The sequence below is a fragment of the Homo sapiens genome, chromosome 4, assembly GCF_000001405.40.
Source record: "Homo sapiens chromosome 4, GRCh38.p14 Primary Assembly".
In the NCBI taxonomy this organism is placed as follows: domain Eukaryota; kingdom Metazoa; phylum Chordata; class Mammalia; order Primates; family Hominidae; genus Homo; species Homo sapiens.
In genome coordinates, this window is record NC_000004.12 from 168,864,051 (window position 1) to 168,887,662 (window position 23,612).

Below are 23,612 nucleotides of genomic sequence, written 5' to 3' on the forward strand. Positions count from 1 at the left end.
CAATTTCATCATATTTAAGCTTGAAAATATACATGATTGCTGATACCACTATAGTCATATACATGTATATATGCACACATACACATGAGAGATGAGACTGTGTTACTCAGACATAGAACCACGGGACAGTCAGCTACACATTACTTCTAGGCAATGGTTCATCTTCTCTCTTCAGGGAAAAAGTAACCCTTGTTGGAACCTGACAGATTTTGAACATATCTTTTCTTTGTTCTTTGTAATGTTTATCTGTATTCTTGTTAGAAACGACTTTCTGGTTCAGTTATTTAAAAGATTAAGCCTTTTAGTGAAAGAAGTTCTCACCTTGGTGTCATCACTTGAGAGGCTAAGAGTGAAGCAACCTAGTTACTACTCTGGGCTCTGTTGGTGGCCTCCTGTGTGGCACTGCACCAAACGTACTTATTACTCAGCTGGATGAGATGATCCCGGTTCCTTCCATCCACATGTTCCATGCTTTCCTGTGTATCTCGGCGCACAGATACTATACATACTTCAGTGGCTTTTTCCGTTGTTTAAATCTTAAAAAGAAAAGGCATATTCTGGTGTATATACTACTTCCCTAAATGAAGGGCCATCTACTATATAAGTCTTACAGTATAATCATGAAATCCAGATGTGGTGTGCAACAAACTTCATTATTTACATGTTTTGGAAAAGATTAATAAAGTACAGCAAAATAAGCTCAATACTACAGCTGTACACACTATACTATAAAGTATTCTTCTTTTGAAAAGCATTTCAAGATTTTGCAGCATTTTTATTGTATTGGAAACAGTCACAGATACCATATTATAGAAAACTCTGTTTGACAGAACGCCAGATGAATAACTGTTGACTATACACAGTCATATATAACCACATTGGAAACTTCATGTAGCTATGATAAATTTCTCTCATTTTTTCCTTAGGAGTAATTACATTAGATAATTGAACTGTTTCATCTAAGAATTTATTTTCGTGGTTTTAGTCATTTCTCAGGGAGGGAGCCTCATTTATTACAGTTCTCCCCAAGACACACTGGATAGACTTCATCCACTGCTGGAAGGACTGGTGCTGCCCCCTGAGGGGAAATGGCTAGGCAGCACTGTCTTCACTGCATCTTATCCTTTGGCCTCTAAGGAATGTCAAGGTCAGCTGGTCAAAAGCTAAGAAGGGCCAAAGCCATTTAAAATTTACAGTTCTTTTCCACGGTCACAAGTCTCTTAATTCATGCTGCTAGGCTGCATCTCTTGTGCTTGCCAAAACGCATTTTTGAGCTTTTTCAAGAACTTTCTCCTTCTTCAGAGGAGAGGTTGGGAAGGGAGTCTGGTGATCAGGCAAGCCCTGCATTCACACCACGGACCCTTTGGCTTGTATATCTTGGCCATTAGCATTTAAACTATCAATGGTAGACTTGTAAGAGGAAATAAATTGCTCTGAGTATCCAGATCCAACTGTGCATTCCTCACATTGATTGCAAGACCAAAATATGTAGAAAATGTTATTGGCAACATTATTTATTCAAAAATGTTTAGTTCTTCAGTTATAGGCCTATGTTAATAGAAATTTGAAAAGTCGTCTTTATAGTGTTGTTCACCATATGATATAATGTTTCTAAATTGTATCACATTTAGTGATACAGTATCTCAAGAGATGGAACAGCATAACAGATGAGTAATATTAGTGATATTCAGATGTTCAAATGTACAATCTTGAAAGACTAAAGAATGAATTTATTAGCATGGGCACATTTTAAAAATATTTAAAGGGGACTATTTAAAAATAATCCTACTATACTGCAAAGATATGAAAGAAAGACCGAGAATGATTTAGTGAAGGCCACACAGAAAATTGGTGGCACAGTCACTTCTACCCGGGAAAGTACTAAGTAGCCCAGTGGCAGCAGATGCTAAAAAAGGGCTGTCGGTGATTTAAAAACAAAGCTATTTAGGCCATGTGTGGTGGCTCACACCTGTAATCCCAGCACTTGGGGAGGCCAAGGTGGGAGGACTGCTTGAGCCTGGGCAACATAGTAAGACCCTGTCTCTACTAAAAAAAAAAAAAAAATTCCACTGGGTGTGGTGGCACACACCAGTAGTTCCAGCTGCTCATGAGGCTGAGGCAGAAGGATCAGTTGAGCCCAGGAGTTTGAGGCTGCAGTGAGCCAAGATGACACCACTTTACTCCAGCCTGGGTGACAGAGCAAGACCCTGTGTCATTCATGAACAAACACATAAGTAAATACCAAACTATTTTTAAGAATTCAAATCCAATTATTTTGGAAATGATTCTTTTTGTATTTATTTTTTTCTACCACAAACGTGTTCAAAAAAGAGAGTGAAGGACAGAACCATAAGTATGTAGGAACTTCCATACCATGAAATTCTATGGTAGTATTTATTGCCCTTATGTGATATATGTCTCTTGATTTTTCTCAGAAATTTGAATTAATACTATACTTGGAAAATGTGAAGTAAGAACCTTTATCAATTGGTTTCATCTTCCTGTTCACATTTTGGATATACAATATTTAGCTGTAAACACATGATGTTTGTTTAGTAGAGACCAACCATTCATTAGTTTCTCAATATAATGAACGCTAGTTGATGGTACTTACACTGAAGTAAGAAATTCTGGAAGCAAATTTAATTTCTTAGTTTCAAAGTCAGCTCCTCCAGGTTGCTTTGTACATTCTTATAGTTTTTCCAAGAAATGTTTTTAAGTCTAGCATATGAGACATAACTACCTAACATTATATGCATGGAATGTGTTCAGGACATAGCCCAGCTGTCTCTATAGCTGTTTTGGGTGCCATTGCAATATCTGTATCTCAATAACAAAGAAATAGGGCATAGGAGGGGCAGACTTAGAGCCATAGTCTTGAGTGGAGCCCAAATCAGAAAGGTCCTCTGTGTCTGAGGAAGTCGCATTGCACATGGTAAATATAAGATAAGTCGTGGTGCTTTGGTTAGAGACATGGTAACGTCATGGTCATGAGCCAGAGCTCCTCAGTTTAAATCCCGTCTCCACTTCTTTCCAGCTGCATAATCTTGGACAACTTACTATATATCTTTGTGCCTCAATTTCTTCATCTGTAAAATGGAGATAATAAAAGTGGCCTCTCTCCTCGGGTTTTTGTAAAAATTAAATGAGTTTAGAGGGAAAAGTGCTTAAAATGGTGTTTGGTACATAGTAAGTGCTCTATAGCAGTTAGCTCTCATCACTAGATGTGGTGACGCTGTTGGTGCTGGCAGTAGTAGTAGCAATAGTCATGCTTGATGAAATTATTTGGAAAAGGCCTCCCCTGGTGGCTTTAAACACAGGAAATGGATGAATGGATACCCTTCTCAGGCCTCCAGGATATTTTGTTACTGTCTAAGGCCTCCTTTTAAGTTACAAACTTATGGAGTTTTATGTTTTAAGAGTCTTTTTAACCACTATACTTTTTATATGCACATAGTTAAAAACAGTCAAATAGTATAGAAGAGTATAAAATGCAAAAATAAAAGATGTCCCCCCTCCACCTCATTCTAGTCTTACTTTCCAGAGGTGAACACTTTAGACTATTTGTTTTTAGCCCTTCTGGTGGTTTCTTTCACAAGTTTATGAACAATATATGAATTCATCCATTTATTGATTCATCAACTGCCGATAGTGCTATTAGATTAATTTTTATATTGTTCGTACCAGCAAGATGTTCTTGTTGGGCCTTTGGTACCAACCAGCTGATAACAGCAATTTCTTGATCTCCCTGTGTCTCCATCTACATATCATAAAATAAGGATATTGGACTTGTTGGTTTCCAAGGCCACTTTCTAAAAAGTGTTAAGAGACCATTTGAACTAATTTAAGTGAAGAGAAAAAAAAAAAAAGAAAAAAAAAATTCTGAGATAAAACTGGTCTGAGGGTTATCTGGATCCAGCGGCTAAAATAGTATTCCAATTTTAACTGCGTCTCTCCCTTTTTCTTTTATATAAGGAATTGGCTGCTTTTTATGTACTGGCTTCCTTTTTGTAGACCCTTCCATGATGGCCAGGAACTCTAGGTGATTCTATGCTTCTAGACACATTTCCCTTCCATCTTCAGTACGAAAAGTCCCAGGGAAAGGCCCTGCTTGGCCTGGCCTGACCTGGATTATATACTTATCCTTGGATAATTTGCTGAAGCCATATACCAGTTGACTAGTCCTGGATCACATGCTCACCCTGCAACCAAGGGCAAGAGGATTGTGACTGGCAGACCCACAAGGAATAGGGTAGAAGCGTATCTGTAAAGGGAGGGAGGAGTGCTATTACCAGATGAAAGAAGAATGGTAGAGAATAAAAACAGATGTCTGCCACACTTGGAGTTTCAGGAAATTGACTTTAAGAAGAAACTCATTCAATTCTCCACCTACTAGTGAGTCATTACTTGCTTGTAAGAATGCTTACTGCCACACATTCAACCATTGGCCTCATTCTCCTTCCAGAAATAAAGCATGAACTCCACCTACACATTCTTTAACTTAGTATCAGCCATAAGCGATTCCTGGCAGTACTTCACAACACTTGAAAAATGAATACAGACATCAGTGTGATGTTCCAGGCAGACATCAGTGCTTTAGCTTCTAGCCTCAACACAGGCACTCAATGCGGCCTTGTTAGAAACACTCTGTCCGGTCTTTTATGACTTGCTACACTACACAATGGACACACAAGGGAACTGTTTCCTCTCTCTGTATAGGGACCAACTTTGTTATCTCAGGATACAGTCTATGTTTTGAAAAAGTGGCTGTAGAACAGTGCAGGGATGGGAAGAATGGGTCCTATCAAAGAAAAGAACTGCCTAGAGATGACTGAAGTTCTCACCAAGTACTGAAAATATCCCCAAGGCACTTCTCTTCAAGGTAAACATAAACTTATTGCGTTTTTGACTGATAACCAAATCAAATGGAAAATGGGCACTGGTACAGGCTGCCACTGCCTGGAACATGATGGAGCGCCTCACAGATGCCAGATTAGGAGCTGCATTACCAGGTTCACAAACGTTCTCATTCGGGTTTGGGAGTTTCACATTTTGGATACTAACAAGCCAGAAATATATAAGTACTGTTACTTATAAGAGCTCTGATACATATATATCTCCTTTATTAGAAGATGCGTTTCCCTTTCCTGTATTCCACACAAAAGGATGCCTGGCAATCTTTTGACAGGTAGTAAGTGACATCTATGTGCAAAACACTGTAATAATCAAGAAGATAGAACACATCTGGCTCTGGGCGATCTGGGCTGGTGTGTGAGATGATAATGCCACTGCCAAACTGACAGTGCCATGCCAGCCTTGTGGGCTGGAGTAGTATGGAGGAGGGAGTAAGAACTGCTAGATGTTACTAGGGAGAGCTTCAAGAAGAAATGGGCATTGAAATGGGCACAGAAGGATGAAGACAGTGGATGGAGAGAAGTTGGTGGGGGTGGCCCTCCAAAAGAGAGCAGTGCATGAGAAGAGGCCAACAGGAAGGAAAACTCAAAATGGGTTTGGGGAACAATAAGAGTAACAAACTTAGAAGAATGAAAAGGTAGAGATACAGCAGCATTAGTTGGAGATAAGATTGTTAGGACTGTTTGAGGCCAAATTATGGGTATCTTAAATATCAGATATTATTTTAGGGAGACAAGTTAGATCAGGGTGAGAGGAGCTCTGTCTAGACATAAGTTTGAAGTGAAGTAGCACATTTATGTTACATGGAAGTGGATAGTGGAATTCAGGACTGAGGGCTGGGTTAGAGAGATCAGGGAGTGAGAGTGATGCAGCTGACTGACTCCTTGTGCAAAGAGGAGTGTAAAGTTTAGATCTTGGTAAGGTACCCATATTTAGAGAGATGGAGAACCAGTGAAGGAAGTAAGGCACAGTCCCAGAAGTAAGAGAACAAGGAGAGTTGTTAGTGATGTCAAGGGAGAAGAGTGCTTCAAGAAAGATGGAGTGGGTGAGCCCACTGTCAGAGGCTGCAGAGATACCAAGAATGAAGGCAGAGAAAAGCCATGGGACTGCTGAGCATAGCACAACCCTATCTTCATATTTGAATGAAATGTCAAAGCCAAAACATCCAAAAGAGTAGTGGCAGAAAGAGGGGAAAGGGTTATTAACAGAACCTTGGCCACTTACCACTGAAATAGTTTCCATGTTTCCTTTAAGGGAAAGCATTATAGCAGAACCACATCCAACTCTAGCCCCATAGAAACTATTTTGAGACACACAAAACCTAAAAGCTATTTTTGTCTTGATCTGGGTAGAATTTATCTATAGGTATATCTGTCTTAAGAAAAAAATGCAATTGACGTTAGCTAGTTAGTTGACAGAATATTCACAGAACAGATTATTCACAGAATATTCTTCCTTTTGTAAGATTTACCATGGAATTGTTTTTATCTGCCTCTCGAATGCCTTTAAAATCTTCTTCTGTTTTCCAAAAACTGATATATACGTTTTTCAAAAACAGTTTAAATAGGTGTGAAAACAGCATATGCATAAGGTTAATATATGCACACACACAAATAAGTACCATACTTGGACTTGTTTAGTTGTCCAAGTTTACCAGTGTCTTTGAAATCAGGTTCTTTATAATATTTAAATCTTACAGGGCTAAAGAGGACAGGTCATAAAATCTAAAAGTTTATTAGGACCTTAAAGTTGAAAAACTACCCCAGAAAGGATAAATAAAATATCCAAAGTCATAAACAGAACGTGGCAGAGCAGGAGCCACACTATTTGAACGTTTCTCTACTGGGCTGACTCCATGTTTTTACTTGTAAATAACCTGCATGATAGTGGCTTTATTTCTAAGAATACTCTCTTAGGAAAATGCAATTGTGTGTTGCTGAATGCCATAGAGCTTGATGGAACAGGGAGTTTTACATTGTATAGAAATCTAGGGATTTGACTTCAACAGATATTTATTGAGTGGCTTCCCTGTGAGTAAAGAGGAAGATACTGAAAATGGAGGGCTCAGCGAAGTGGGAGGATTGCTACTTTTTGTAAAGCCATTTGGGGAGTAGATAATGGTTATTTGTTTGGAAAGAGATGACACTCTGCCCTTAGTAGTAATCGACTCTTATAAATACTGACTGCATACCACTGTTTTGGATGTATTCAACCCAGCAAGCATAAGCTATGATGGGACTGACACAAGGGATGGCACCAGCCATTGTGTGATGAATGAAAATGAAAAGTTGGGGAAACATTAACCATATGAAACCTTAAAATATGCCAAATTCGTCATTTCATTGGAAGACAGAAAGTGAAATATCTGTCTGTCCTTTCTTCCCTAATTCTTCAAAATCTCAGAGAAATTTTATACTTAAGACCTTAAAGTTTCTCAACATCTGTCTCACAGGGAGCTTTTCCTTGGTGTTTCAATTAGAAATGAGATCACTGATTTTGCTTCAAGCATTGAAAAAAAAAAGGTTGAAAAACAGATTTTTTCTTCAAAAATGTACTTTGTCTATGTTAAGAATTGAAACCAAACATTTTCTATTAGGAACAGTCGGTATTAATTCATTTTAATGTCCACTAAATTAGCATAGTTTTTATAAGAATCAACTAATATCTTCCTGCTGTTTTCACTGGCCTTCGCATCAGTAGAAATGAAAATCATTTTGGGCATTTAACTGTGATGCAGAGTCAACTCTTTTAGAAGCTGACTTCGGATTCCTCCCCCAAAAAGAGGCTGGGACTGAAGCGCCAGCATTCTGTGTTAGATTCCTCAGGCACATCACAACTGCAGGCACTGGCAAAGCCTGTCCCTTATCATATGCAATTTATGTCAGGCTACAAATCCTGCTCTTCTGGTGGGGCTATAAATTCTTTGGACCACATCCTGCAGCCCTCTCAGAGCCAAAGTGACCATTTACCCCACAGAGAGTTGGATCTCCACAGACCTCCTAGATGAGACATCTCAACATCTGGAAGCCAGCGGCAGGAGTCAACTTATGAGAAACAGTTCACATTGCTACTGACCCTTGAAGAGCACCATCTCCCCTACCTCTCATTCCTATTCTTCATGTTACATGAGAGACTCAGCCATCCTTTGATATTCCAGAGAAGTTCCCAGGAGGATTAGGAATTGGTCATCAGTTGCTCCTTCTCTCTCTCTCTATCGGTACGTGGAATGACTTCAAATAGAGATCAACTTTATGCATTAAGACATACAAAGCTACTGTTTTTCTGTGGCAGAGCCAAATATGGCTCTTATTCTAAGTACAAAGGAAAAGTCTCTCTAAAAGAGACTCAAGTCATGTGCTGATTTCACTCAGGTCACTTCTCCCTTGAGCCCTCCTCCATAATTGTGTTCAGTTCTGGCTTTGTTTGGAAAGTCAGCACAATTTACAAAAGGTTCAGAATGCATTAAAGGTCAAAAAATAGGGCTTTGTAAAGAAACCTATGTCCTTTTGCAATACATTTTAAACTTATACATAATCCCAAGCAGTAATCAATTTTAATTCTAGCATTTTTTTGTTTATGGTACTTTGTAGAAAATCCAGATTTTTATCCCTGCCTTCTCCCCCAACCTTAGGGGAATGTATTTGAATTATTTTTGCACTCACAACCTCCCATAAGCCCAGTGCAATACATTCTCATTTGTCTTTTATTAATCCTTACTGTGTAAATAAATGATCATTCTTAAGATTGGGATTTATATACCTTTTCCTAAGGGGCAATCATAAGTTAGTGCTAAACAAATCAAGTTGTTAGATATTGACCTTCATGCAGTGGACCTAGCTTCTGTGATATGAAGATATCAATTGAGCTCTGAGTAATAGAATTTTAAAAGACAATTGAAGCATTACTATAATAAAGTTATAGATGGAACTGAATCGGTACTACCTGAGTGGGAAGCCCTTGTAGGAGTTTTATTTTCTATTTTATACATTCCCAGAATTGATACATTGAAGTCTCATGCATATGATACTGAGCTAATCTTAGCCAGATGGGAATATATTGTGGAAACACCTAGCAGCTTACCCCTAATTCACTTACCTACCTTCATTTGAAAATTCTTAAGATTTCCCAGTCCAATATGGGACCCTCCTAGTATAGGAATGTCCTACTGAATATGCCTGATGAACCCAATGGGGTACAGAATTGCAGTAAGAAATTTATATCATTGTTGTCATTGACAGTGATGAGTCCACCATGTTTAGTGTTTGGCCAGGTGCTGTGAGGATGCCGAAAGTTACCCTCCTTACTTTTAAAGTGCTTATAAATATCAGGACCAGAGGAGCTTATGGTTCAGAGGGTGCAGTCTTGCAACTCTTCATACAATGGCTTCTGTCATACAATCAAATATTAAAGAAAGCATATAAACCAACAGCATATTTATTCATAGATCACAAATGTTTTTCAGCTTTGTGATCTCAAGAGTTTTTCTAGACAATTACGAATACCCCATCTTTATTATGAGCAGGGGATAAATTACTTGCAATCCAGATATTGCTCCAGAGAGACATATCAGGAATTTCCAATTTACATAAAAGTTGTTTTCCAGAAGTTTACTTTCACATCATTTATTTTAAACTTGGGTTGCAGTTTCCCAGAGAAAAAGTGGTATGTAGTAATAATAGCCAACATTTTAACAAACGTTTTTTGTTTACTGAGCACTCTATAGAGAATGATGTGGCACCAGGCTTTCTGAGCCAGCCAGCACTTCACATCCAGGTTCTGCCCTTGGACACATTACTTGACCTCACTAACTGATGGTGAATTTTTTAAATGGGGATAACCATCCCTGCCTCCTAGGGTTGGTGTGTGTCTCCAGTGCTAGGCACGTGATAAGTGCCCTATGGCTTCGTGATGAGGAGAAGGCGGAGGAGCAGTGCTAAAACCAGCCATCTTAGCTGGTCTCATGACAGCCCCATCTCCAGTTCCCCATTTGCCCACCTGCCACTGCTGTTCCCCTGCCAGCCACTTGCAATGGACATAGGTGAAGAGAAACATCCCCTGCAATAAGTAAAACATTGTTCTTGTTTTAAAAGTTCTGGTTTGTAAAGTAACCAGAATTGATTTGATTTTATTCTGCTATGAAAGATAATTTATTGAGCTCATACTCTGAACCAGGCACTGTGCCCATTTAATTCTCACAATGACCCCACAAGCTAGTAGCCGGCTGAGCTGGGGTTCCAAGCCAGTTCGATCTAACTGTGACTCTAGCCCTTTTTGTCATGTACCATTCTGCCACTTGGGACAGTGTTTTTAGTGTGGTTAACTTTTTCTGAACTTGCTTTAATCTAGTGGTAGGAGAGATGACTGAATTAGAAAATAAATTAGGTCATACACCTCTCCTTATCTCTGTCAAATCTAAATCTTTGCCCCATCCAACCATCTGTAAAATTATTCTTGTTGAAAGCTTTCTGCAAACCACTGGGGTAGAGGAGTTATTTTCTATAATGTATGAGGGGAATCTATTGAGTTAGCATGAAATCAAGTTTGAAGTCAGATATTCTTAAATATATTCTTAAATATGTATTTAAAACCTTAACTGATGATTCAGATCCTAAAGGCCCTGGATGTTACAGCTGCAGTAAGGTATAAAAGTGAATAAAGTCCTCAGAAGGAAAATATAGCCACAGATTTTTTTTTTTAAGTCACATTGAAGGTCAGGGTCCTTTTATGTGTTACATGCCTGAAGTAGTGTAAAGAGCAGGGACAGACACAGGTTCTAACCTGGCTCTGCAGGTAACTTGCTCTGTGGCCTTGAGTGTTACTTAAAACCAGTCTTCCCATGTGTAAGTGGACTGTGCCAGGTCTAGACGGTCCCCTTTCCTTCAGTATCAAAACTTTTAGAATTGAAGGATGGGCAAGAGTGGGGAATCGCTTAGATTTTTTGAATTAGGGGTATGGAGGAGAGCGGGGAAAAAAGAAGCTGGGAGAAATTTGATGGATTACTTGTGTAAGACCAAAGATTTAAACACATGACACTCAAAGTACATTTGCAACTAGGGCTATCTAGAACGCTTAACTTGTCATACTATTTGGAAATACATAGTATTTCCAAAATACTATGGAAATACATACTATTTGGAAATACATAGTATTTCCAAAATACTATGGAAATACATACTAGTTGGAAATACATAGTATTTCCAAAAAGTTCAGTTTCATGTTTTCAGAGAAAAGACAGCAGAAAAAAAAACGGAGAAACTAAAGAAGTAATGAATTTCTTATGACAAATAACTTCTAAGTAATTTCCAAAAGCTATAGGCAACCTTGCCTTTCTGGTACCTTTCATTCTTTCGGCCTTTTTATCTCTGTGAAAATCAACTTTTCTAAAAATAGCTTAATGAGGAAGAAGAAAATGGTAAAATTGTGCATTTCATCACATCACAGTCCAGATATGAAATCCATTTAACTCAAGTATTTAAAAGATTATCATTTGCACAGAAATAAAGTCAGACACTTTAAAATTCGAAATAAATGTTTTTGCGCTCCTTTTCCCCACCCCTCCAGTCCCTGCATATTATATTCTTGATGCCTCACTGAACCACTTAAAAATGGTGAAGTCAAAACGCTAGTAAAGTTCTTCACTACAGTATATACTAGCAGCCAAATCACTAGAATGCCCATTCATTTCTTGTGAAATGCTACGTTAATAATTTCTTAAACTGTCACTTCATACTAAAGTTAGCGCTTCCACAGCTTTAAGCCCACTTGGGTTAGCAAACATGATGGTTCTTTTTAATGCCCGAATGAATAAGCTGACCCATGGAGAAGTTGAGAACCAATATAGTCCTGGTCTGGGCTTTCCTGCCCTGGTTTCTGTGAATACTGGCTCTCAAGAGTCACTCCCTAATTCTGGGGCCAGGGAATCCTCACATCAGGTACAGAGCGTGATATGATGTCTGTAGCTACTTCAGCAGAGCCACCACACACAGCAATTTGCTGATGCCAGGCCAAGCCTTAAATACTTAAAACACAGCTGTGGCTTTGGCCATTGTGAGCCCAGGTGGGGACAGAGTAGGGGAGCAGCGCCTTTGAGGAGAGCCACACAGATGGCTTCTAATCCAGATGCAGAGGTCAGCTGAAGGGTGTGGAAGAGTGTTGATAAACATCCTGGGACTGGGATGCATGCTGCCCTATTGAGGAAATGTAAGAGAGACAGCAAAGGCAGGGAGATGAAGCATTTGGGGACTCGGAATGGAGAGTGCTGGATAATGGATTTTAGAGCTAGTGGGTGGTTTTTATGAGTTCTATTCCTGGGCCAGTTCTAAATGCATGAATGCCAGAGCACATGTGCTGGACAGTCTACCCAAACCACACAGACATCTGGAACTTCAGGGCAGTGGTGAATCCCAGCAGTGACATGCCTACTTTTAAAACACTCAAGTTCAATAGGACCCCACAAAGTTCTTTGCTGTTCAAGTATTTGATGCTCTGTACATATTAAGAACATAGAACCATCTCCTCATTACACCTTTCAGTTCCCAAGAAAGTGTGTCTTTGTCTTCTCATGGACTTAAGTGTAATCACTTTACTGGATAATTATAGAAGGGAACAGAAGACACAGGACAGAGTTTAGAACTTGCTGATGTTCCCACAGCTCATGATACTTGAGAAAAGACCTAGATATTTTTTCACTTTTTATTGGCCACTTCAATTCTTTGTATTGCTGAGTCTCTGAAGGCTTGATTTTTGCCTATGGATAAGAAAGTTTTGGGGTCTGATTTTTAGTTTTAAAACGTTTATTGTCTATTCATAGATAACTTGTTTTATCTGCTTGTTACAGTGCCGCCTTCTGTTGAAGTTTCTTTTGACAGCTATTGGTCCCTATGTTTACCTCATGTGAATAAAGGAAAACATCCTGGATGTACAGCAAAGTTTTTGAGTAAAAGAGTGAGATATTAGATCATTGCTAGCTGCTTACTCTTATTTCAGAAATAAAAATTTGAACTATCTCTTCTCAATGGTAAATATTTGGGGAATTAAATATACATCATTACAAAATTTTTGCTATTGTTTATTGAACACCTACCTGTTATAGAAGTCACTTGTTTACATGTGTTTGAAATAACATACAATATCAATGTGTATTAAGGTTTGTGTAAGAAATTCGCAATTCAGTTTACTACTAAAATTTTGCATAAAGACTTTCTTAGGGGACAAATGTAGAGATTAAAGTAAATTTTTTAAAAAATCCACCTGTGGTATTTATTGAATGTAGAGTTGACAGCACTGAAATAGGCAAATTGGACTAACGTAAATCTGCCAAATATAACTTCAACCAAGTGTTTTTTTGCTTTTAACTTTCTCATTTGATAGAATTCTTTTACCAAAAATTGGCTACGAATGAGAGGACTGAGAATTGATGTCGAAACGTTTTTCTCTTAATATTTCTTGATCCGTTAAAAACAAATTATGGCTCCTGGAAGTCAGACAAAATTTCCATCAGGATTTGTAAACTGGTTGGGATCACCTTATGTGAAACTTAAATGAGAGTGAAATGGGCGAGCATACTTCACTGACTTAGCGCTTGGTCCAGAATGAACTGCTGGCCCCACACTTGGGCCTGCTAACGTGTGCCCGTTCCCTGGGTGTTCTCTGCAGCTGGCCTAAGTGCCAAGCGATGTCCACAAGCTGAGCTCACTCCTGGAATACACGTTCCTGGCCGTTCCATCTCTGAAGGTGTCACTTCTCTTTTTCCCCCCAGGGACCCTCTGAAGCTCCAGCAACTCCAGAACCAAATCCGACTGGAGCAGGAGGCCGGCGCTCGGCAGCCTCCGCCAGCCCCGCGCAGCGCGCCGCCCTCGCCCCCCTTCCCGCCGCCGCCCGCCTTCCCCGAGCTCGCGGCCTGCACGCCGCCCGCGTCCCCGGAGCCCATGAGCGCGCTGGCCTCCCGCTCCGCCCCCGCCATGCAGTCCTCCGGCTCCTTCAACTACGCGCGCCCCAAGCAGTTCATCGCCGCGCAGAACCTCGGGCCCGCGTCGGGCCACGGCACGCCGGCCTCCAGCCCCAGCTCGTCCAGCCTCCCGTCGCCCATGTCCCCGACGCCGAGGCAGTTCGGCCGCGCCCCCGTGCCGCCCTTCGCGCAGCCCTTCGGCGCTGAGCCCGAGGCCCCGTGGGGCTCCTCCTCGCCGTCGCCCCCGCCCCCGCCACCCCCGGTCTTCAGCCCCACGGCTGCCTTCCCGGTGCCCGACGTGTTCCCACTGCCGCCGCCACCACCGCCGCTCCCGAGCCCGGGACAGGCGTCCCACTGCTCGTCGCCTGCCACCCGCTTCGGCCACAGCCAGACGCCCGCGGCCTTCCTCAGCGCTCTGCTGCCCTCGCAGCCGCCGCCGGCGGCCGTCAACGCCCTGGGGCTGCCCAAGGGTGTCACCCCCGCGTGAGTAACCGCCGCGGTCCTCCACTTCCCTGCCCCTCCGCCTCGGGTCGCCCTGGGACTCCCACATCTCCATACACGCGCTCCCATCAGCCTGCAACCCAGAGCGCCCCAGTAACATTTCACACATTTCTCTCCGTGCGATGTAAAAATTCTTAACGGCAATTTGACTCAGTGATTCTTGCGTAGCCACTTAACATTATCAAAATCAGAACTTTTTCCTCTGAATTAATATGAGATTCTCATCAGGAACTATTCAAAATCTATGCAGTGCCCTCTCTTAATCATTATGGGGGGGGGGGTGCTTAGCTATCATTTATTGAGCACTGTGCTAAGCAACTCACATGTATTATTTCATTTGATACAACATTCCTAAGAGGTAGCATTGCCCCAGTTAAAGTACTGAGGAGTCTAGGAGTTAAATAAATTGCCCAGGGTCACATAGCCACTAAACCGAGACACGAATCCATGCTCTCACCACCAAACTATGTGTTTTATTATAATATTTCATGCCAGCATTACAATGGATGTGAAGGAGTTTGGTTATTAAGTATATACTTAGTGTTTTTGAAAAACCTTAATTAACAGATTTAAGAAATAAGCCTTTGTGTAAATCTAGTGATTGACTGGAAGGGGGCAAAAGCATGTAAATGTCTTTATGTTTTGATGTAGATAAATGAGGGTGTATGCAACCTAGTGGAGAAATTATGATGCCAGTTTTGTCCCTGGCCTGTGACCTCGAGATACATTACATGCCTCCTCTATCTCTTTCTGTTTGCAGGTGATCTAATATGTCTCTCTTTACATCACAGTGATGATGTGGCAGCCCTATGAGGTCTTTAAAATGGAAAATCTTTGAGGATAAATAACACCTACAGAAGTACAGTAAAATCCTCAAAAAAATACAGTACAGGTGTTAGGCATGTTTGGTTGAAGAGTAAAATGAGTAAATGCTAGTACTTACTCATTTTACTGAAGATTTCAAAAATGAGGAAGTGCTCACAAAGGTTAAGCCAGCACCCATATCTCAACTCTTCCTTCTGAAATCCTACTTCAGAGTTTGCCAGAAGCATACTATTGTTCAGAGAGAAAAAGAAGGAACTCTACTAAACAGTAAAAAGGAGAAGATCTTAGAATTCAAGTTATTTTCATTCATCTATAAAAGTGTTCCATTGCTAGGATACACTAATGCCACCTTAAAGGCAAGCATTGCTATGTCGGGCCTCGACAAAGGTGTACCAGGCAGCTTCAGTTAGCAATGCTTCTTTTGTTGGGCACTTCCTAAATGTTGATTACATTAATTTGAAATGTGGCTTCTTCTCAAATCCTTATTGGGTGAAACACAGTCCAATGAATATATAAAGAAACAAGTCCAAAAAAGGAGCCAAATATAGTAATGATGTGATAATGGACTTCTGTTGAAAGTTGTCAGTCAACTTGTCTGAGGAGAACCTTTGTCCTTCTCCCTTGTTTTTTCTCTTTGAGCTTTTATTTAGCTGTTAGAAAAGGAAGTGTATTATCTTGGTACAAAGAAGCTGTTAGAGAGACCCAAAGAGCCAGAGTTTGTTGCATGACACTTTTTCATCCTCTCTCATTAAAAGGGTACCAAGTCTTGCTTCCCAGGAAGAGGAGTACTGTGTAAATAATCTGTTCTAATATTTCTCTTATAGAATTTGATCAAAGATTCGTTTTTCAAAGGTGGTGATGATTGTGCCATTTATCATTTGTAGTAGAAACAGCAGTTTGTGCTGATCAGTGACTTTGAAACCTTCTTAAGATAAGCAAGTTTTAATGGCTTACCTCAAGTAACAGGAGCACTTGCTTCTTGTCAGCATCTATCACAGTGACTCATTTTATGGAGTCAAAATAGCTTATAATTGTTACCACAAGAGTCCAGTCGTTCCTGCCATTTCTTAAAAATTAATGGAGAAGTCGTGCCGATTTTGTGGCCATGGAAAACTGTACCCAAAGATAGTGAAGTGCTGTGACATCAAAGTGGCAATACCAGACTACAGATTTTTAGCTCCATGCCTGCTCAGTAAGCCATTATTATGTGGTTACCGTTTTGTCCTCAAGGAATTTTCCTGTTGCTAAATCACGCATACTTGAAGAATTCATTATTTTGGTTTGATAAATGTGTCTTTTGAAACATGTTTTTCCTCTGGCATACTATGGGATCTGTCATTTGCATTCTGAATTAAAAACAAAAATGTTACTATTTTTGTTTACCATAATAATCCAAATAATTTGCCAAAGATTGAGTGTCCCTATCAGGGCTGCCATGACTTTGGCATCCTGGAACTTGCAGGAACTGCCAAGTTATCATAAGATGTATATATTCAGTTTCACTTATAAGTGTTATTTCTTTAGCTGGATAGTTTTGCCATATATATCAAGTACCAACAAATTGGTTGATTATATGTAACACAATGAAGTAGAAATTCATTAGGTTTTTTTCACTTGCCTTGTTTTACCAAAATCTTAAATGTAAATTTCCAATATCTTAGTTTTCTTTTCTTTTCTTTTCTTTTTTTCTGAGACAGTCTTGTTCTGTTGTCCAGGCTGGAATGCAGTGGTGCAATTGCAGCTCACTGCCACCTCCGCCTCTGGGTTCCAACAATTCATGCCTCAGCCACCTAAATAGCTGGGATTACAGGTGTGGGCCATCACGTCCGTCTAGTTTTTGTATTTTTAGTAGAGATGGGGTTTCACCATGATGGCCAGGCTGGTTTCAAACTTCTGACCTCAGGTGATCCGCCTGCCTTGGCCTCTCAAAGTGCTGGGATTACAGGCCTGAGCCACTGTGTCCAGTCTCTCTTAGTTTGCTTAATCATACTTGTATACTTGCTGTTTTATTCTGTTTGTTTCACACTGTTCTTATTTTCATCTGTAGACAGGAAGGTTAGTAAGTACTAAGTTTCTAAACAGTCTGTGGAGATAAGGTTCTGTTTTTCATATGTTTGGGTAGCAGAGGTCAAAGCAGGGAACAAAGGTCATGGATGTCAGTGATAAACCACAAAGCCGAGGCAAAAGACAGTAAATCTGGGGAAGAAAGGCATTTGAGGAACTGTATGTATAGAAGTTCCCCAGACCGCAGTCAACCAACTGCATGCTGTTCTGTGAGCCGGAGAGAGGTTGACTGCGGTCTGGGGAACTTCTATACATACAGTTCCTCAAATGCCTTTCTTCCTTTATGCTACATCTTCCCCAAATTTACTGGGGTCACTGGCAAAATATTGCCCTGCACAAAGCTGTCAACAGATACAAATATTAAGTTGACAAACTCTTTTAGATGGAGGCAGTAAGGAGAGCATGCCTTAGAGAGAAATCTGTTTGCACTTTTATAAAATTAATGTATTCTATTCCCCTCACTATTGCTGGTAAGTTGGTGTTACAGCCTCCATTGCTGTAACCATGTTTCTCCACATAGTAAATCAGCCCTAAGACACAGAAGAAACCCAGAAGATTTGGCAGTGCCGACAGGCATAGTGTGGCAGTTCTGCTCTGCTGGTCTCTGAGTGGCCATACTAAGTCTGAAGGGTGAATCAGATCAGACCCATCCCTGGAACCAGACTGGCACTGTTTCTTTTGCCATCTTCACATTCTTGGAATCTGTGCTCATAAGGGAGTGCCACATAGCCACAGTGCCACAATGTTGTATGCTCTTAACTACCTCTTTTATATAAGCAGGGCTTTGGTTTGAAATGTTGCCCCATGTTTGTCACAAAGAAGAGCATGTGTCAATAAGAGCTTTTATACAGATGTATTAATGACAGCTTTTATTATATAGGCCCACAGCTCCTTATGGACATTATCTCATTGTCGCTCTCTTTCTCCCTCATAGGAAACGGGTAGGTGGGGACACTATCATCGTTACTCAAGAGGTGACGGGATTTCCCAGGGTTCTGGAAGAAATGCCTGAGCAAGGAGAGCATAGCGTGACTTAGGTTCATCTCAAATAACTCTAATGTCTAACATTTCTTGATTAAAGAAAGCTGTTGTAGAAGCAGCAAATCAGAATCCCCGAGTCAAGGAAAACTTTGTAACAAATTTAACTGTACTTTAAGATTCATGACACAGGGCATTTTCACCAGTTTTCAAGTCAAGACTGTGGTTAGATAGTAACCAGTGAAAAAGAATCCAACAGATACAAGCCGCAATGTACTTTGCAGACATCTCATCTACCTATCTTTCTCCTATTTTTCAGGAAACAGATAGTGGGGGGCTTTTCATTCTCTGACCTGAAGGGGTTGGAGGTGTTATTACTGGGCTCATTAGGGTCCAGTATCTTATCAAGTTGTATCCAATCCTGGACAAGTATTTACCAACAAATTAGTAGGCAAGGCCTCCAGGATCTGCTGCGACTGGGTTATTCTGTTGAAATGTCTCTGCCCCTGGGGCAGCTCAAAATCAGACCTGTACGGCTGTGTACCAAGTTGTACAGAATGAATGAACAGAAGTAACCCGAAGCCAGTGGATCACGAGGTCAGGAGATCGAGATCATCCTGGCCAACATGGTGAAACACCATCTCTACTAAAATACAAAAAATTAGCCGGGCATGGTGGTGTGCACCTGTAGTCCCAGCTACTTGGGAGGGCTGAGGCAGGGGAATCGCTTGAACACAGTGGGTGAGGTTGCAGTGAGCTGAGATTGCGCCATTGCATTCCAGCCTGGTGACAGAGCAAAACTCTGTCTCAAAAAAAAAAAAAAAAGTAACCCACGTGCCTTTGTCATTTTCTTTTTTAAAGAACCCAAAATATAATATGAGGAGAATTTGATATTACAATAAAGTTATCTATTTTCCTTTAAATATGAGCTTAAGTTACCCATTTTTTGTACTTTAACAGCCTTTGCTTTACCGTAAAATTCAGTAAAAGGAAAACAGAATTGATATACAAAAGCTCAGTTTGTATATCTTGGGCTCTTTTATATATTAATACATTACATTCTTGAATATAAGTGATATTTAAATGCCAACATGTTAATGAGTTTGCTCACTCTGAAATTTTGTGGAATTTAGTTACCATCAGATTTCACTGAATGTGAGAAGAGTAGAATAAGAGGACTTGTAATAGTTAAATTCTCTGGTTGATTCTGGTACCTTATCTCTTTAATCAATATTGTGCTCTGGAAATTTGAGTTTCTGAAATCTGCTCACAGAATTGACCTGCAATAGCATATCAAGGGAAGGATGCTTTCAAGATTATTCAGTAGCCAAAAAAAGAGACCTCTTGGGATTTGGTGGTGATTGAATCTGGAAAATTTTACCTTCCAGATGCTTGTGTATATGTTTGAGATGTTTTTATCCCAACCACATGAATATTGTTTTTAAATGACAAATGACTTACTGTTAAAGCCAGAGTAAACAGATCAGTAATGTTTTTTGTACAGTTGGGCTGAGTGTGTATACAATGAAGTATTTAGTGCAGGAGGCCTGTTACAAATTGTTTATTGGTTAAGGTTTGCCTCTGAGTATGGATTTTTGTGAAGAGTTCTGGTTTTGGTAACTACTAACTTTGAATACTATTTTATTTTTTTTTAATTGTGCAAACCATCAAAAAAAAAAAGGAGATCATGTCTTTGTCACCACTCTTTTTATTTCCTAATGAGTTGCTACTCTTCATTTATCAAAAGAAGGTGCCACTTCAGGGAGCAGAACTACAACCATCTTACATTAAACTCTAACATAGCATTAGTTTTATAGGAAAACAAACTCAGTTGCCAAATTTTTGCCTCAAAACTTATAACTGCTTTTCTTTCCTCATGCCTCCCCTTTCAAAATACTCCACTTTTATTTCTAACTCTCACCTTGCATGCTACCCCTAAACCCTGTCCTCAACTTTTAATTTCGTAAAGTGTTTCTGAATTACGTTAGTCCAGTGAGATGCTCTGAAAAAGAGAAGAGGTTCCATATTAGAATAAGTGTGAGAAAACTGTATTCCATACCTCTTTCCTCAGGGTTCACAGTGCCCATCCGTTGGCCCTGCCAGGCTGGTTCTGGTCACAGGACCTCTGCACTGCCAAGCTCTCCCTGTAGGTCTCACATAGCCAGCCACTTCCTATGGTTTAGGCCACCACTGTAGAGTCACCTCCTCAGAAGTCTGATGGACCACACTGTCTGATACAGTCATCTGCTCATACTTCTGTCCTTTCATTGCGTTTACCACCTCCTGATATGTCTTGCCTTCCATTCTTTTCTCTTATCTCTTTCTGCCATATCCACCATAAAAATACAATTTTTCTAACTATTGTGACCTAGTTCAACATTGTATTTCTAGCACCTAGAACAGAGTTGAACACTGAGAAGGCAATCAGTAAGGGTTATTTGCACATTCTTGTAAATTCTGGTCAAGAATTCTTGGCATCTTTTTAAACTCCTTCCCCTCTTCCATTCTGTTTATCTCAGCCAATCTTGTCTCTGTGACTTACTTCCATGCTGAATATTTTCTGTTTGCCACTTCAGATCCACTCTTACTACACCAGGCGCTGTTCTAAGTGTTTAGTACACATTAGTTCATGTAGTTTACCCAGTGATCGCATCAGATACGAGCTGTTAATACCCACATTTTACAAAGGAGGAAACTGAGACATATGGTCATTAGGTCACTAGCCCAAACCACACAGCTTTTAAGTGGTTAAAACAAAACAAACAAACAAAAAAACAGGTTATCACGTCTGTTTCTTTATTCACGCTGACTCTGAATTTCTTCTTCTTCTCCACTCTACTTGTCTACATCCTTGTCATCTTTCAAGGGCTTATAACTTGCCTCTTTCATGGAGTCTTCTGCAGTCATTCTAGCCAGCACTGTTTTCTGTTTCTTTTTTATTCCCATTGCATCTAGAATTGGTACCACATGGTTTGCTCCTTAACTTATTCCCCAACTTGGTTATTAGCCTTTGTGATCAAGGACCATCCTTTAGGATGTGGGGGGGTCTTTGCCATCTCACTTAAATAATGTTGAGTGCTTGCTTTGGCAGTGTGAATACTAAAATTGCAATGATACAGAGAAGATTAGCATGGCCTCTGTGCAAGGATGACACACAAAGTCATGAAGTACTCTGTATTTTTAAACCATATAGCCTCTATGAAACTGCCATTTTTGTAAGTTAAAAATGTTCAAATATTAATCGTTGTAAATAATTGCCCACTGGAATGTTTTCTTATTCCCCCTCAAGTTTCAATTTCAAGCACTGACTGCTAAGATTGGCATGTCTCCAGCCACGTACATTTGCAAAAAGTCAGATTTGCAATGTAATATGTCATGGAGCTCATGCTTGTTGAAGAGAATCTTTGATAGGCTGGACACATTCATTTTAGTAGGAGGCAGAGGTGGCCTAACAGCAAACTCTAGGTTCAGGATCTAATTTTCATAGCCTTCAAGGATGAATGCAATATAAACTGTGTAGTAGATTGTGATGCTCATTCCAACTAGGGAGGCAAGCATTTGTACCTGCTATCTACAAGGCACCAAATAATGCATGTGTCACCATTGCTATAAATTGTCCTCTTCCAGGACCTAACTATTTGGGTAAAGAACCTACAGTTCCCATCACCACCTATGTATGTATGTACAAACATAAATTAGTCCAAATTCTAATTTTCTCTTATTTTTCTTTGTGGAAAAACAGATAAGAAAGCTCAGTAAAGGAAGATATAAGCAATTAATGTTACAGTTCTTCAATATAATAATTTGAATTAAATGTACTAAGAAGCAAAAACTATTAGTGTTGAGACTATCATGATGAAGCTTTTGGTTTTTTTAATATATTTTCATTTTTATGCATAAAATCTTAATACATAGAATTCCATGATGTCATCAGGCATTAACAATCACTTACCTTAGAAACCAACTCTTTTTTTCTAGGCTTAACAGGGTTTGTATTAATGTATTGGCCTAGCACTGGGCCCTGCTAGATGCTCAATAAATATTTGTCTAATCACTATTAGACATTTTAAAATATCTTTTGGCTGGGAACAGTGGCTCACACCTGTAATTCCAGCTCTTTGAAAGGCCAAAGCAGGAAGATCCCTTGAGCCCAGGAGTTTGAGACCAGCCTGGGCAACATAGGGAGAACCTGTCCCTACAAAAAATGGAAATTTAGCCAGGCACAGTGGTATGCACTTATGGTCCCTGCTACTTGGAGGATGACTCAGGAGGATTGCTTGAGCCTCCTAGGATGTCAAGGCTGCAGGGAGCTGTGATCACACCACTGCATTCCAGCCTGGGTGACAGAGCAAAACCCAGTCTATAAAAAGAAAAAACATATTTCAGTTTATTTTTATTTCTGTGTTAATTGTTTAGAACCAAGAAAATATGAGTACCTTAAATTCTGTAAGTAAAGAGGAAAATGTCTTTAACATTGTAGGAAATTAGGAATTAAGTAACTGCCCTTCATACTGGTAATCTTGATATGTTGAAGGAAGTGACTTGTTATAAGATAGAGGCCAGGTATGGTGGCTCATGCCTGTAATCCCAGCACTTTGGGAGGCCGAGGCGGGCGGATCACGAGGTCAGGAGTTCGAGACCAGCCTGACCAACATGGTGAAACCCCATCTCTACTAAAAATACAAAAATTAGCCAGGCGTGGTGGCTCATGCCTGTAATCCTAGCTACTCAGGAGGCTGAGGCAGGAGAACTGCTTGAACCTGGGAGGCAGAGGTTGCAGTGAGCCGAGATGGTGCCACTGCACTCCAGCCTAGGCAACAGAGTGAGACTCTGTCTCAAAAAAAAAAAAAAAAGAAAAAGAAAAAGTAGAATAATCAGTTTTTACTTGAGCCAAAGACTAATTGTAATTATACCCTTTGAAAGGATAAATTACCCTTGTGGCAGGGACACAAACCAAGGTGACAACTCTATGGAATGTTCCAGAGCAGTTGTTCTAAGTCCCTTTAAGAGTCAAATATACTGAGAAATGCTTCCCAAGGAACAGGACTTATTCTACAGTGAATAGACAGGTATTTTCTTGTCCAAGGGAACTTGTGGCTGACTTTTAAAAACCAGTTCTCCGCTCCTCCGATTGAGATGACCTGTTCTGACCTTGATGGTCTCCCTGTCTCCCCTTTCTTTTTCATTTGTGCTGAGAACACAGCTCTTAGTGTAGTCTACCTGCAGAAACACAGTGGTGCCTTCTGTCATTGAAGGCTGCTCATCAGCACATAGTTGTTCTATGGTCTACATCGCACAGGCTTAGAGTAATAATGGGAATGTGTGTGTTCCCAGTCCTTGCTGATGTAACAGAGAGCTGGCTGCCTTCAGTTTACCTTTAAGA

The 23,612-nt window shown here is 40.2% G+C and overlaps 1 protein-coding gene, 1 long non-coding RNA gene and 1 pseudogene across 28 annotated transcripts in view, besides 3 other annotated features; 2 read left to right on the forward strand and 1 right to left on the reverse strand.

The window, feature by feature from the left end:
- Positions 1 to 13,573, reverse strand: part of LOC102723331 (uncharacterized) — a 33,246-nt gene extending 19,673 nt beyond the window's left edge. The window contains exon 1 of the long non-coding RNA XR_007058358.1: positions 322 to 13,573. This is a non-coding gene — a long non-coding RNA (uncharacterized LOC102723331). The remainder of the gene's footprint in view (positions 1 to 321) is intronic.
- PALLD (palladin, cytoskeletal associated protein) overlaps positions 1 to 23,612 on the forward strand; it is a 431,390-nt gene that overhangs the window by 366,999 nt on the left and 40,779 nt on the right. For 15 of the 27 annotated variants that reach the window (XM_011531768.3, XM_011531769.3, XM_011531771.3 and 12 more), the window contains one exon: positions 13,673 to 14,344. The exons of the other annotated variants lie outside the window; for them this stretch is intronic. In XM_011531768.3, coding sequence (XP_011530070.1) covers positions 13,673 to 14,344 — 672 coding nt within the window. The remainder of the gene's footprint in view (positions 1 to 13,672; positions 14,345 to 23,612) is intronic. 27 annotated transcript variants of the gene reach the window in all.
- Positions 13,589 to 14,173: an enhancer, noted in NCBI's record as "H3K27ac-H3K4me1 hESC enhancer chr4:169798790-169799374 (GRCh37/hg19 assembly coordinates)". NCBI's record gives its function as "activates a minimal SCP1, AML or CMV promoter by ChIP-STARR-seq in naive H9 embryonic stem cells {active_cell/tissue: H9 hESC(naive)}" and the evidence as "EXISTENCE:reporter gene assay evidence [ECO:0000049][PMID:30033119]".
- Positions 13,855 to 14,094: a silencer, noted in NCBI's record as "silent region_15788". NCBI's record gives its function as "represses an Ori minimal core promoter by ATAC-STARR-seq in GM12878 lymphoblastoid cells {active_cell/tissue: GM12878}" and the evidence as "EXISTENCE:reporter gene assay evidence [ECO:0000049][PMID:35858748]".
- Positions 17,137 to 17,386: an enhancer, noted in NCBI's record as "active region_22127". NCBI's record gives its function as "activates an Ori minimal core promoter by ATAC-STARR-seq in GM12878 lymphoblastoid cells {active_cell/tissue: GM12878}" and the evidence as "EXISTENCE:reporter gene assay evidence [ECO:0000049][PMID:35858748]".
- On the forward strand, positions 21,305 to 21,411 carry RNU6-853P (RNA, U6 small nuclear 853, pseudogene; annotated as a pseudogene).